The 15,602-nt window shown below is 39.9% G+C and overlaps 1 protein-coding gene and 1 long non-coding RNA gene across 9 annotated transcripts in view; one reads left to right on the top strand and one right to left on the bottom strand.

The window, feature by feature from the left end:
• COL4A3 (collagen type IV alpha 3 chain) overlaps positions 1 to 15,602 on the bottom strand; it is a 150,169-nt gene that overhangs the window by 22,564 nt on the left and 112,003 nt on the right. For 6 of the 8 annotated variants that reach the window (XR_001738601.2, NM_000091.5, XM_011510555.2 and 3 more), the window contains exons 28-37: positions 14,676 to 14,780; positions 12,339 to 12,436; positions 11,639 to 11,789; positions 11,223 to 11,336; positions 9,697 to 9,864; positions 8,373 to 8,462; positions 7,884 to 8,018; positions 2,981 to 3,079; positions 2,141 to 2,230; positions 1,343 to 1,482 (exon numbers count right to left, since the gene is read on the bottom strand). Coding sequence is in view for 7 of the 8 variants with exons in the window: in NM_000091.5 (NP_000082.2) it covers positions 1,343 to 1,482; positions 2,141 to 2,230; positions 2,981 to 3,079; positions 7,884 to 8,018; positions 8,373 to 8,462; positions 9,697 to 9,864; positions 11,223 to 11,336; positions 11,639 to 11,789; positions 12,339 to 12,436; positions 14,676 to 14,780 (1,190 nt within the window). In the remaining variant the exon portion in view is untranslated. The remainder of the gene's footprint in view (positions 1 to 1,342; positions 1,483 to 2,140; positions 2,231 to 2,980; positions 3,080 to 7,883; positions 8,019 to 8,372; positions 8,463 to 9,696; positions 9,865 to 11,222; positions 11,337 to 11,638; positions 11,790 to 12,338; positions 12,437 to 14,675; positions 14,781 to 15,602) is intronic. The other 2 variants (XM_005246280.4, XM_005246277.4) reach the window with 2 other exon arrangements.
• Positions 1 to 15,602, top strand: part of MFF-DT (MFF divergent transcript) — a 104,113-nt gene that overhangs the window by 32,936 nt on the left and 55,575 nt on the right. Inside the window, exons 3-4 of the long non-coding RNA NR_102371.1 lie at positions 10,440 to 10,525; positions 12,654 to 12,746. This is a non-coding gene — a long non-coding RNA (MFF divergent transcript). The remainder of the gene's footprint in view (positions 1 to 10,439; positions 10,526 to 12,653; positions 12,747 to 15,602) is intronic.

The following is a 15,602-nucleotide window of genomic DNA, read 5'->3' as shown; positions in this document are numbered from 1 at the left end:
TACTGGAGACTATAGCTGGTGGAAATATTTAGGAAAGGTGGTATTTTATTGTCTCCAAAAAGAGGGAGAAGGTTCCCTAAGTAATACTTTTTATATATTGGAGTCATACATATACTGTTGAAAATCTAAAAATCTAAATCTGAAAAATAGACTCTACCCTACAAAAACATTTTCAAACATTTTGCATTTAGTTTCAAGAGGTTGCTGGGCTTCTTGGGATCCCATAGATTTTCCCAGTGGTCCATGGAATCCCACGTTAGCAACTTCTGCTTATAGGAACTTCTATTAATCATTCTCTAGTGGTCTATCTCTGGCTTTTAGTGTGAGAGCTGTACTCAGATAATTGGGAAGAGAATAAACCTAAGAAAGCAGCCAAGCCCTATTGAAACATCTGGTTGCTGCTTTGTATAATACAGTAGTAAGGGCTTTAACATCCAACCTCAATTTGACAAAGCACAAACACTGAAAACATTGAAACAAGATTAAGCATTTCCATTCCATTACACAGAAAAAGTTCTAAAACAAGAAAGATAAATGTATCTATCTTAGGATTTTGTTCGCTTTCTAATGATGCTGTAAAGTTATTTTATTTTGTATCTTTTGTTAGTCTTTGTAAGACAAGTGTTTTTTTTTTTGTTTTTTTTTTTTGTTTTTTTTTTTTTTTTTGAGACGGAGTCTCGCTGTGTCTCCCAGGTTGGAGTGCAGTGGCGCGATCTCGGCTCACTGCAAGCTCCGCCTCCCAGGTTCATGCCATTCTCCTGCCTCAGCCTCCCAAGTAGCTGGGACTACAGGCGCCCGCCAAAACGCCCGGCTAATTTTTTGTATTTTTAGTAGAAACGGGGTTTCACCATGTTAGCCAAGATGGTCTCGATCTCCTGACCTCGTGATCCGCCCGTCTCGGCCTCCCAAAGTGCTAGGATTACAGGCGTGAGCCACCGCGCCCGGCCGACAAGTGTTTTTTATTAGAAGGTTTGGAAATTTATTTTTATAAGTCTGAGATGAGTACAGCAGAAATGGGCCACTTTGTATCACAAGAAAAAACCCACTGTCCTATCTGATTGTATGGGCCTGTAATCACTGCCTTCTTCTGGCAGCACACCTAAATTGCAGAGACAGTGTGAGAAATTCCTTGGTGACTGAAAGAGGCTCTCAGAAGTTGACAGCTCTGTGACAGACAAGCATCCTCTGTTGTGGAGATAGGATTTTAAAAATCCAAATAACTGTCTGAAAGTATAGTAACAGTTTCAATTTTCTCTGCCCACACCGAATCTGGGTACTTGTTGATATTTTTCAAGGCACTCACTCCACCACTAAAATGTAAATATTTCAGTGGCCTATATACCGTTGGTCCCGGTGGTCCTGGCCTTGTACCTTCTGAATAACCTGGCTCTCCCTTATCTCCCTGGAGACCATGAATACCTGGGAGGCCTGGTCTTCCTGCTCGACCTGGGAATCCCAAAGTTCCCCTTTTTCCTTTAGAACCTGAAATTAGGGGGAAAACATAGAGTAAAATAGATAAACATGAGGATCTTGAAGTTTTCTACTTTTCAGTTTTACATAAGCTTTCTCCCAAGAATGGCTTTTTCAGAATTGCAACTGCATCAGGTAGTTACAATAGATGATTATTATATAATATCAATATTTATTTTGTTCTCACCCATTTTCTGGTTGCACACTGTGTATTTGTCTAATAGGAAATCTGTTTTTTTTGTTGTTGTTGGTTTTTTTTGAGATGGAGTCTCACTCTGTCGCCCATGCTGGAGTGCAGCAGCGTGACCTCAGCTCACTGCAACCTCCACCTCTCGGGTTCAAGCGATTCTCCTGCCTCAGCCTCCCGAGTAGCTGGGACTACAGGCATGTGCCACCACACCCAGCTATTTTTTTTGTATCTTTAGTAGAGATGGGGTTTCGCCATGTTGGCCAGGCTGCTCTCAAACTCCTGACCTCAGGTGATCTGCTTGCCTCAGCCTCCCAAAGTGCTGGGATTACAGGCATGAGCCACCGTGCCCGGCCCCGCAAATCTAGTTTTTTAATATAAGCTTTCTACCAAGTGGAAAACCAAAACAGTACACAACACAGAAAATCTGGAGTCCTCACCCATCATGAGCTTGTGGGCTCATAACAGGACCTTATGCATTACCTGGCATGCCCATGTTCCCCATGCTTCCTGGTATACCACGCAGTCCTGGTTCTCCAGGATTCCCAGTGCTGCCCAAATCTCCTCTGGGGCCTTGAGAACAAATAAGTAGTTATTGCCCTGCACAGTTCCTGGACATAGTATGTGTTTAATAAATACTTGTTGCTTGCATGCATGAATGAATGCAGAACAGCCAGACCGGCTGGTTTGGGCACTTGTCTAGCTGTCCTTTTTCCTTCAAATAAGAGGGAACTAGGGACCTGGAACATGGAAAACTAAAGAAAGTTAGATTCTCGTTAGCAGACCTGGGTTTCAAACACTAAAATCATCCTAGGACCAACACCAGCGGGAAAAAAGTGGGCTCCTGCAAACATATGGTAATACATTTCCAACTGCATCCTGAAGTGTTATTGCCATGTCATATATTTTGTTACTGAGATGGTTGTAGGAATGGTGGGATACTTTAATTATTTAAAAATTATTTTGTAAACTCAGTTACTTGTTTTAAAAAAGAAAGATGCAAACCTGAAAACTTCTAAAGCATTCTCTAATTTTCATCTCTGATATGTGATATAGTGATACATTATAATTTATAATACATATCAGCAATTTCAGAATGAAATTTTGAGGACAAAATGGAACTATTTGTAGGTTAATGTATGTTAGTTAATGACACGCCAACTATCAACACCTTCTTTTAGTTAATTTAGTAGCAAATTTCTGCTGGAACACTATCAGAACAGAATTGATATTTAAACCCAGTAAGCCTAGAAACAACTTTTATTACTTTAGATGTAGGAAAGTGTAAAATGTGATATTTTTCTATTTGAGAATCAGCTGTACCTGGTGGTCCTGCTGGTCCGGGTAGTCCTTTGAGGCCCTTTAAACCTGGCATCCCTGGAACGCCTCTGTTTCCTTTCTCACCTGGATTTCCTGCGAATCCTGAAGTTAGAAACCAGGTATTAACAAGAAAATTAGCCAGGTGTGGTGGCAGGTGCCTGTAATCCCAGCTACGTGGGAGGCTGAGGCAGGAAAATCACTTGAACCTGGGAGACAGAGGTTGAAGTGAGCTGAGATCGTGCCACTGCACTCCAGCGTGGGCGACAGAACGAGACTCCATCTCAAAAAAAAAAAAAAAAACCCAAAACAAAAAACCAGGCATCAAAAATTCATGTTAAAATTTTGTCAGACCCATCCACATCCTGGTTTAAACCGATGGCATATTACTGTAGTACAGCATATAGCATATATGTTAAGAGCATGGGCGGATTTGGGCTTCTGTCTCTTAAAGAAGAGGATTAAATGAAATAATATGTGTCAAGCATTAGCACAGTGCCTGGCATAAGTTATTCCTCAATGAACACTAGCAATGATCTTAATATGTACTCTTTAAAACAACATTTTAAGAATTAGCAGCCTAAATACCTCTTCATTTTTTAATAGTAAAGACAAAGTGTTATCCACTACAGTATTCTCATCTAGATGATTCTATTCTCAATCCATGTATTAAAATTATAATTTATAAAGTATTAGGTAAGTCAAAGGCCAGAATCACAGTGTCAATCAGTTAATAACACTTGGATTTGAATCCAGTTCTGCCCAGCTGGAAAGCTCATAAACGTCCCAGGAAACCATTCCACTTTCCCTAAAACATGACTTTGATCATACTCTTCTCCTGTTCATAAATAGTCATTGGGCCAGGTGCAGTGGCTCACGCCTGTAATCCCAGCACTTTGGGAGGCTGAGGTGGGCAGAACATTTGAGGTCAGGAGTTCGAGACCAGCCTGGCCAACATGGTGAAACCCTGTCTCTACTAAAAAATATAAAAAGTAGCTGGCTTGGTGGCACACACCTGTAATCCCAGCTACTTGGGAGGCTGAGGCAAGAGAATCACTTGAACCTAGGAGGCGGAGGTTGCAGTGAGCCGAGATCACACCATTTACAGTCCAGCCGGGGTGACAGAGCGAGACTCCGTCTCAAAATAAATAAATAAATAGTCACTGAATCTCTATTACTTACAGAGTAAATTGCAAACTCTTTCGGCAGCATGAAGCATTCTGCAATCTGTCTATAGCCTGCCTTTGTGCTTTTTCTCAAGCAGATTCACTTCCCTTGGCTCTTTTCCTGCATATGTACTTATTCATTCACATATGGATGGAGCATCTAATTAATAAATAGGTCTTGTGCTGAGCACCAGAGAGATAAATCATCATGTTCTCTTTCCCCAGGTTTTTAGTGTTTAACTGGGGAGACAGGCAAGTAAACAAATAATTATCATCCAGGAAGATAAACTCTATACTAGAGTTGGGCACAATATACTACAGGGAAGAATTTCTGAAAGAGGTGGTATTTTTTAGCTCAGTCTTGAAGACCAAATGAAAACTAATTGGGTGAAGAAGGTCTGGAATGAGACAGGATTCCCAGAGAGTAAAATAGCATGTAGAAAGGAGTGATGAGTATCAGGGAGTTAGATTGTTTTGTTTTACAACTTTCATTTTTTCCTTTTATGTCATTGATTGCAATCTAAAAAGATATATACTGTTTAGTCTGTTTGTTTACTTCAGTGTTTTAGGAGTTGGCAAAATACAGCTTTCAGGCTGAATCTGGCTTGGTTTTGTATGGCTTTAGGGTTAAAGACGGGTTTTACATTTTTTTTTTTTTTGAGACGGAGTCTTGCTTTCTCGCCATGCTGGAGTGCAGTGGCACAATCTCAGCTCACTGCAACCTCCGCCTTCCGGGTTCAAGTGATTCTCCTACCTCAGCCTCCCAAGTAGCTGGGATTACAGGCGTGTGCCACCACGCCCGCTAATTTTTGTATTTTTAGTAGAGTTGGGGTTTCACTATGTTGGCCAGGATGGTCTCGATCTCTTGACCTCATGATCCACCCGCCTCGGCCTCCCAAAGGGCTGGGATTACAGGCGTGAGCCACCACGCCTGGCGGTTTTTACATTTTTAAAAGGTTGTTAAAAACAAAAGCAAAGAAGAATATGCAACAGGGACCATATGTGAGCCACAAAGCGTAAGATACTTACTACCTAGCCTAAATGGAAAATGTTTATGGACCCATTATGTGTCTTTCCCCCACTAAACCGTAACTTTCATCATGACTAGGAAACTAAAGTCTGCTTTGTTCACCTCTGTATAATCAAGGCATAGCAAAATGCCTAGTCCATAGGTATTATTAAGTAAAAGGTAATTATTGAGTACATAAATGTCATGTGGCTGGAGAGACAGGCCAAGTGCAAGTGGTGAATAAACTTGTATGTCAGTCCAAGAAGTTTCACTTCTCAAAGCACAGGGAGCCTTGGAAAGATTTTAAGCCAAGAATTTTATTTGTTCATCTGAATCTTATTCAACATTTAAGTCCTCTTTTATGGAGGTTTCACTGACTATCTTAGTTGCTGTATTTTCTACTTCCCTCAACTCCTACAGAGCTCTGGCAGCACAGTGAGGAGGCCAAGAGTGAGGCCCATCTCTGCCATTTCCTATCAGAGTGTCATTGGGCAAGTAACTTGACCTCCCTATTTCCCCGTATGTAAAATGGGATGATTGCAATAGTAGTACCTACTCCTAGGGTTATGTATTTATTTATTTTTTGAGACAGAGCCTCACTCTGTTGCCCAGGTTGGAGTGCAGTGGCACAATCTCAGCTCATTGCAACCTCTGCCTCTCAGGTTCAAGCGATTCTCATGCCTCAGCCTCCTGACTAGCTGGAATTACAGGCTCCCCACCCCGCCCACCCTGGCTAATTTTTGTATATTTAGTAGAGATGGGGTTTTGCCATGTTGGCCAGGCTGGTCTCGAACTCCTGACCTCAGGTGATCCACCCGCCTTGGCCTCCCAAAATACTGGGATTACAGCCGTGAGCCACTGTGCCCAGCCTACTCCTAGGGTTATTGTGAGGATTAAATGAGTCAATAGTTGTAAAACTTGGAACAGTACCTGCACATGGTAAATGCTACTTAGGTCGTTGTTAAATAATATAGCATGCTAATTTGCACCTCGCGTCTTTATTATCTTTTTCTACATATGCCTAAGTCTGCCACGCAGCCTCCTTGTGGAGAGGATAGTGACTTGTTATTGTGCTTCTCTGTATATTCAATATCTCTTCCACATTTGAAGTGAATAGCTTTAAGTCAGAAATTCAGATTTAGAAAAATAAATGGATCATATTGAAATTAGGGAGGCCTAGATACAGGTTATTTTTTTGTTGTTCTTCAATCTGTGTCCCTTGGTTATGCATTTGAAAAGCCTAAAGAAAACATACAGAACAGCCTCGATGCATACTGTACTTAGGGTGAGTAAAAGAGTTTTGTTGGAAGTATAGAAATAGCCCCATATCATGTGTCCTTCTGTACTTTACAAAAGGAATTCTTCAATTGCAAATTAGTACTCACTGCGCATTTATACTGTGAGCGCCAAATTTCTGCTTATGTAGGCAGAGATATGCTATTCATATTTTTTCCAAAATGTTTCTAACACTACTTAAATAATCTAAAATAGTCTAGTGAAGTGGTGTCTATGCAGACAGTTTATGAGGACTGGAGATTGGTGCCAGTATTTTTTTTTTTCATATCTTGGCTTAGACTAGTCCTAGCAGAGTTTTATAAAAGTCGCATTACTTTCTTTTTCATTGCTAAAAATGAAATGCAATATTCTTTTTGTACCAGAACTAAAGTGTCTCTTCAACACCAGGTTAGATGAGGACTATGTACATAGAAGGCCTTTACTTCCTAACTTGCCAGTTAGTCAGCCTTTATATTGTAGTCTACAGCACCCTGTGCAAATTTTTTTTTTTTTTTTTTTTTTTTTTTAGGTTTGGCAGTACATGTGAAGGTTTGTTACATCCTCATGTGCCATGCATATAAATATTTGTTGAACACAGTCTCATTTCTCAAAAGTCATTTCAAATATCTCAAAACTTAACATGGTTTTGCAACTGCAAACACATTTTTCTTTTTTCCTTTCTTGCCATGATACATTTTTCTTTTATTCCTTTCCTGCTATGAGAGTCTGATCTGCAAATGTAATATTTTACCCAGCAGTTCTCTGTTTTTCTAAAGTTGCTTGGGATTACATTTGGTCAAGAAGACTGCAAGGGAGGGCTTCTGAAAATTTGGTTTTATATTGGTCGTATTGATCATATCATGAAAACTGCCATAAAAAGGGCCCAAATAACTTGAAATAATGTGAATGGGTTTGAATTTTAGCCTAGTAGCCACATCTAACAACAGTCTTTCTAAAGGGTTAAATTTTCATTGAAGCATTTCTTTTTAGTAATTATTCTCCAAAGGATTTTGAACAGGAGAAGAAGTTTTTAGATAGAATCAGAAAATATTATTCTGGTAGTCTACAGAATAAAGTTGAATTTGAGATGGAGGTTTCAACATCAGCCAGAAAAGTTTTTTAATGTGGAATTTTTTTAAGGGTTTAATTTTCCCCATACTTGGCAAAGAGGGAGTTTTGAGGCTTATAATTTAAAAACTGACTGCTGATGATTTAAATATAGCAAATTAAAATGCAGAATTAACTTAGAAATAAAAATGTTACACATCGAGGAGGCAACATGTCGTGGAAGGTGACTCAGTTCTAAGGCCTGCTCAGCCACCAACCGGCTGTGTGATGGGCAGGTAACTAAACACTGGCCCTCACTGTCCTTATTTGTCAACCAAACGGATTTGCCTGGATAATTTATTAGCCTGAGAATCAGCTCTGATGTCCTGATTCCAAACAAGCAATTCTTTACCTTTGAGACCTGGTTCTCCTTTGTCCCCTATTACGTGGGATATCTCTGAAGGCCCGGGATTTCCTTTATCTCCTTGTTCCCCCTTGGCTCCTGGGGTTCCTCTCTGGCCCTTTACTCCTGGAATTCCAGGGCTCCCTAACAGACAGGAGTAACAACATCAGGTCCTTAATTCTTCAGGTAGTTCATAGGGATTAAAAAGTTGGCAGTGCTTACTATAAAACAGAACAAATCAAACAAAAAAGGCTAACAGTGCTGAGAACTTGATAAATAGTTTCCCCAGGCAGGCAGCCTCATAAGGGTAGTGGTGTAAGCCTACAGAAAACAGGATTCCATTCAAATGGAGAAAAGGAACATAGAAAACAGCAAAATCAAATACTGTTGCTCTCTCAGAACTATTTTTCCCTCCAATGAAACATAACTTTTTTTGCTGCAAAATAAATGAACATTGTTTATGCTTCCTGCTATTTAGAAAGACACTCTATCACTTACCCCTCTGCCCTGGTGTGCCTGGGTTCCCAGGGGGCCCTGGAGGGCCAATGGCTCCAGGAAAGCCCATCATCCCAATCACTCCATCTTCACCTATGGAAACAAATTAACACAAAGCAGCACGTGTTGTACAGAGTGAGAAAAGCAAAATATTCCATATACTAAAATAAATTATACTTAGAAGCAGAGATTGGGAGTTGAAAAAATGGCCTCTGTACATAGTACAATTACTGTATTAGTCTAGGAGATGGGTCGGTAAGTGGTCTTTTAAACTCACCTATGTGGAAGTGATTGGTAGCAAATCATATTCATGGATGAGGATAGCATATGTGGAAGTTTTGGAGCATTCCATCCTCCCAGCCCCTGACCAGTCACTTTCTATTCTATCCCTTCACTTTATTTTCTTCATAACACTTGTCTCAAATTGAACTTAGATTTTAAATATTTCTATTATTGATCCTCTACTATGAGAAGGGGAGACTTGTCCACTGACTGATGTGTCTCTAGGGCCTAGAAGAATGCTGGCATGTGATAGTAGCCCAATAACATGAATGAAAGGATAATGTGTCGATTAAGTTGTTTTAGGCTCTTTTCCAGAGGGGAGATCGGTGAGGTCCTTATGCCATGAGGGAACAGAATATTCTCCCCAAACATATAAACAATAAACATAGCCATGAAATTAAAACAATTATACAGAAATATGATGAACAACAACAACAAATCAGATAACTTATAAAAATGGACAAGTTTCTAGAGAAACAGAATACCAAAACTGACTCCAGAAGAAATAGAAAACCTGAATATACCTATAAGAAATGAAGAGATTGAATTAGTCATTTAGAGACTTCCCAAAAAGAAATGCCCAGACCCAGATAACTTCACTGGTGAATTCTACCAAATGTTTAAAGAGCGTCGATTCTTCACAAACTGTTCCAGAAAATACAAGAGGAGGAAACACTTCCCAGCTTGTTCCATCAGACCAGCATTACTCTGACACCAACACCAAAGACATCACAAGAACGCTACAGACCAATATCCCTTCTCAATATAAATGCAAAAATTCTCAACAAAATACTAGCAAGTATATTATAGTAGTCGTATATAAAAAGGATTACACAGCAAAAATAGCCACATTCTGGGTAATTGTTCATCCTGCCGCCACCGTTTCCCTGCACCATGGCCCCTGGTTTCTTACAAATAATTTAGAAGGAAAACCTTATATTAAGTAAAAGCATAGAGTAAAAAGCGTATGCCTATGTACAGTTGACAGAGCCACCTTAAGAAGAAGAAGAAATAAGAAGAAAAATAGAAACACACAAAAGGATACCTGGTGGCCCTAAAATTCCCGGATTTCCTGGATATCCTCTTTGACCCAGTGGTCCCATTTCACCTTGATGACCTGGAATTCCTGGTGATCCAGTTTCTCCAGGAAATCCTGATCTATCCAAGCCTGGAATTCCTGGGTCTCCCTTTGGCCCCGTTTTACCTCTTCTGCCTGTGTACGAATAAATGAATGAATTAATTAACCCACAAATGCTTTCCCCTACTAACTTCAGAAATATATATATATATATATATATATATTTTTAAGATGGAATCTCCCTCTGTCTTCTAGGCTGGATTGCAGTGGGGCGATTTCGGCTCACTGTACCCTCCGCCTCCCTGGTTCAAGTGATTCTCCTGCGTCAGCCTCCCAAATAGCTGGGACTACAGGCGTGCACCATAATGCATAGCTAAGTTTTGTATTTTTAATAGAGATGGGGTTTTGCCATGTTGGCCAGGCTGGTCTCAAACTCCTGACCTCAAATGATCCGCCCACCTCGGCCTCCCATAGTGCTGGGATTACAGGCATGAGCCACTGCACCCGGCCACTTTAGAAATATTTTATGGCTGTAAATATTTAGCTTTGTGATTTGGGGTAACTGCACACTTACGCATGCGTGCGCATGTGTGTGTGTATGTATTTAATGTCCCCTCTGTAAAATTTCTGAGCTCCCTTCTGGCTCTAACATTCTCTGCTCCAATGATTTATGCAGTAATACAAGTGTAGTCTTTATATCTATTTTCTAGTCCTGCAGACACATTCTGGGACTGCACCTTATGAGTGCTGCTCACTCTGTTTCCTGCAGAAGACATACAGAGCCGTTCGCATAGAGGTAAGCCACTGGATGCCTCTGGAAAAAATAATAATGCCACTGTAACAGTTAAGGTCTTGGTCAAAAATTTATTTGTGAACATATAAGCAGTATGATAGACCACAGACATTAACTGATTTCTAAATACATTTTTCCAGGAACAGTTCATCAGATCTGATGAGGAGAGGATCCAAAAACAAAGTTTTCCATCATCTGGAACATCTAGCCTGCATCATTTAGATTTATTTTCATGTTTTTTCTTTTATATTGTATGTAAAACAATCAACTACATATTTTAGTTTATAAGTTTTTAAACTGGTATCATTGCATACATTTACCCTATTTTAATAATAAGGATAAACTTACCACTTTAATATATTTATGAAAATATTAAAGGTAAAATGTTTTCTGAGAATTTAATATGTATATAAATATATGTAAACACACACCAATCTCTGTCTTCAGCATTCATATTTTTCTTGCATAAAAGACACAAAGCAACTCACTATATTAACTTCAAGTTTCTTCCTTTATAGGTGGTACACACTACTGTGTGCAACAAACCCATAACAGCAAGGTTTACACTTCTGAAGTATTTCTCATTGAACAGTGGTCAGGACTTGTGGCTGGACAGTTCCCATGTTAAGCAGCAAAGCACAGAGCAGGAGTCTCATGTCTCCTGCCCTTCTGGTGGCCAGTTTTGAGGCCCTCCTCCTACCTTGTTGCCCTTTCAATCCATTTAAGCCTGGAAGTCCTTGGGCTCCCCTGGGACCCTCTATGCACCTTCCTGGGGGTCCTTGTTCTCCAGGTGGTCCAGGCTGCCCTGGATCTCCTGCAAAAGAAAGCACAAGTATATACCCAGGTGCTAGAACTTAAGGTCTTGGTATTGCTGTACCAGTCATTCTTCTGTTAACTTTTTTTCCACCTAAATCAGATCTATATTTACTGCCATTAATATGCCTTTTCTAGAGGGCACTCATTAAAAAAGAAGGAAGGAAGAAGGAAAGAAGGAAGAAAGGTAGGGCAGGAACATTGGATGGGAGAATTCTTCATGCCTAGAACACCTTCACATTCAGTTTGCTGCATTTTAGCAGAGCTCACAGTGGAGAAAAGTAATGACACTTGCTATTGTACCTCGTGGTCCATCAAGCCCTTCATTTCCTGGAGTTCCAGGGAGACCTGGAAGTCCAGGGAGTCCAATTTCTCCATGTTCCCCAGAATTGCCTCTTTCTCCTGGAAAACCTGGTGTTCCTGGTCCTCCAGGCATGGCTACTGCTGGTTCTCCCTACAGCATAGAAATTGTGTTATTACTATATAGTGCTTCCAAATCTTCACTGATATTGACTCTCTGTTATGGAGGCTCTAAGTCCCTGTTGCACAGCCACTACCATGTCATCAACTTTCCTTTTTGAGCTCTAGTTGCTGACTTTTCTGTAAGATTATGTTTAATAATACTTCAGGATATGTAGCCTCCACTTTTTCAGAAGACTGTGGGATTGTCTATAAAGAGAAAAATCTAGATGTTTTTACTTTTGATAGTTTTTCTTATAGCTAACCACATTTCTTTCTAGAGTTGTCCCATTTTAAATACTCTGATTATTTATGAAACCATTAAAGATGATATCACGATGAAATCTGCATTCTGACACCTTATGTTTTCCTTTCTAAAATGGAAGATGATCCAGAGAAACATTTAAAAAATTTAATATCTTCATCATCTACAAATATATTGATCATTTCTACATCTAGAGTGCTCTGCCAGATAAGTGCATACAAACTGGCCAGTTAATGGTCACCCACCCTCTCTTCTGTGATAGCTTGAATTTTTGCATACCTTGGCTCCTGGGAGGCCTGGCTTTCCAGGTAACCCAGGCTCTCCCATTTTTCCAGGACAACCCAGTGATCCTTTTGTACCTGGAAAACCTTGGTCTCCTACAGAGAAAAAACAATAAACATTGTTGTAGGATTAGTCTTATTGAAATATTCTGAGCAGTAACTCTCTTATCTCTCAACCAGCTAGAGATGCTTTTATGAAAATTTAAATGATAATAAAACCAACTGATAAATTAGCAATTTTTTAAAAGTTCCAAATCAAATTACATTGGTTCCTATTTGAAAAAATAACTTTCTCTATTTTGTTGTTTAGTAGGGCCATGATTTTGATTCAGCAATTCTTCAAACCACTGATGCTGGTTGACCATTTGACTTTGTTTTTGAAGTATTTTTTACATACAGTGTACAGGTAAGTGGATTTTTATATATGGATATATTCATGTAAGCATGACCTAGATTAAGATACAAAGCTTTTGGCTGGGCATGATGGCTCACACCTATAATCCCAGCACTTTGGGAGGCCAAGGTGGGTGGATCACTTGAGACTGGGAGTTCGAGACCAGCCTGACCAACATGGAGATGGAGAAACCCCATCTCTACTAAAAATACAAAAACAACAACAACAAAAAAAACAACAACAAAAAAACTAGCCAGGCATGGTGGCACATGTCTGTAATCCCAGCTACTCGGGAGGCTGAGGCAGGAGAATCGCTTGAACCCAGGAGGCAGAGGTTGTGTTGAGCTGAGATAGTGCCAATTACACTCCAGCCTGGGCAACAAAAGCGAAACTTTGTCTCAAAAAAAAAAAAAAAGATATAGAACGTTTTCAGCACCCCAGGTAGCCTTTCTCAACAGGGGTTGCTTAAGAGAATTAAGTCTTAATGCCCTATAGCATCCATTGCATGCAAGGGATTAACTTCTTATGCATTTATAGTAGGTGACTTGAGAAAGGGGTCAACACACTTTCTGTGATCTCTGGTTCAGAAGAGGAAGCCACGGTGAAGCAAGGCTGCATTCAGGGAGTTCCTTCATACCCTAATTTGACCAATATTTAATTTGCAGTTAGTTCATGGGATTCATTAGATTCAATTGTGAAATTGTAAATCTCCACTTTCAAGGAGCTCTTGGGCTAGTTCTGGTTCCCACAGTCAACAGTCTTCTTCCAGAGAGTCAATACCTAGAGTTACAAAGTAGGGATGTAATTTATTAATGCAGGGTCCAAGAAGAATGAAGTACAAATGTGAGGCAGACTCCCTTACTTCACAGATCATTAGGAAGAAAACCAAGAAATTGGACTCAAAGCCATTCTTAAGACTCCAGGAGAAATGAGATTATGTTTTCCATTTCAAATACTCATAAATTGAAATCAATATTCTCATATTTGGGCAAAATTAATGTATAATAAACACTGATGACATACTAATCCAAGAGCTGAAACACCAAAACAAGGATGCTATTTTTGACAAACATTTTAAAGAATATTGTAACAAACATGAAATTGTCATAAAACTTGCAGTTCTATGTGAGAATCCAGGGACTCAGGTTACTCATATGCCATCCTGGACAGGACTTTCATGTACTTGTCAGTGGGCAGGCTTATGTCATTGTGTGAGCTCTCAGCGTCTAGATTTTTTTGGAGTGTTTCCTCTTTGAGGGGAAACAGCATTTTTTTCCCTAAAGGAAAATAATTTCCATAATTTATTTTGGAGTTTATGGGAAAATCAGCCATTTGTGATTTAATAGTTCCTTTCTTATTAAAAAAAAAAGAAATGTATACATGTGAAATGTGCAGGCATTTACTGAGAAGTATCAAAAATGTCTTTAAAATCTGACAATCAAGATTCACTATTACCATTTTGGTGAGTTTCCTTCTAGTTGTTTTCTCTGTGTTTTAAAAAATTCAATTAATTCACCTAACATTATTATAAGATTTTTTTCCATTTGTGGCTCTTGGAAAACATTTTTTTTTTTGAGACAGAGTCTTGTGCCTCAGCCTCCTGAGTAGCTGGGATTACAGCCACATGCCACCACACCCGGCTAATGTTTGTATTTTTAATAGAGACGGGGTTTCACCATGTTGGCCAGGCTGGTATCGAACTCCTGACCTCAAGTGATCTGCCTGCCTTGGCCTCCCAAAGTGCTGGGATTACAGGCATTAGCCACTGCGCCTGGCCAGAAAACATTTTAAAGAGTATTATGGATATTTCCTATTTTACTCATTTTATATCTTATATCCTATTTATATCTTCATATTGTATTTTACTCATTTTATTTATACATATGAACATCTTCTAAATATCCACAACAAACTTTATGTTTGAAAAAATTTTAAATTTACCCTTAGGTCCAGGAGGCCCAGGAAATCCAATTCCTGGAATTCCTGGTTCACCATCAGGCCCTGGAAGACCAGGATCTCCACATTTCCCCAGGGATCCAGGGATACCTTAGAAACAAATACACATATGCATCTCCACATCAGCAACTTTCCTTCATCTTATTTTAAAAGAAAATGTCTAAGTTCTCTGTGTCGTCCTATCCCTTTTGCACATTGTTTTTTTTTTTTTTTTTTCCTGTTGATGGAGTTTCGGTCTGTCGCCCAGGCTGGAGTGCAGTGGCGCTATCTCAGCTCATTGCAAGCTCCGCCTCCTGGGTTCACGCCATTCTCCCGCCTCAGCCTCCCGAGTAGCTGGGACCACAGGTGCCCGCCACCACGCCCGGCTAATTTTTTGTATTTTTAGTAGAGACGAGGTTTCACCATGTTAGCCAGACTGGTCTCGAACTCCTGACCTCGTGATCCGCCTGCGTCGGCCTCCCAAAGTGCTGGGATTACAGGCGTGAGCCACCGTGCCCGGCCAAGAAAAAATTTTTAACACAACCCCAATCATATGCTCCCCCTCCCTGTCCCTATCCAATGGACTAATCTTTAGGAACTGCAAAGAATTTTGTCAATATAATTTAATTCCTAACAGGAAATATTCTAGATGTCTTGAACTATGTAAGTCTCCCTCCATGCATGCAAAACTCAGTTTTAGATCACGTTGGCAAAGACAATCAGTTTTCAAATGAAGATGCTATGGAAAATATCCTGATGAATTGCCAGTGGGCAAACATCACTTGCTCCCCCACCAAAACTCCAGAACGGTTTTTCTGCTCTAAAATTCCTCTTAAGTAGTTACATAGGTTCTCCTCGGGAACCTTTATATTAGAAGCACCAGTGAGAATAATTTGGATAACCTCAGAGAACTATAGCAAGTCCCCAGCCTGC

The sequence above is a fragment of the Homo sapiens genome, chromosome 2, assembly GCF_000001405.40.
Source record: "Homo sapiens chromosome 2, GRCh38.p14 Primary Assembly".
Classification (NCBI taxonomy): Eukaryota; Metazoa; Chordata; class Mammalia; order Primates; family Hominidae; genus Homo; species Homo sapiens.
Note: the sequence above shows the minus strand (reverse complement) of the source record. Positions and strands in the feature narration are given on the sequence as shown.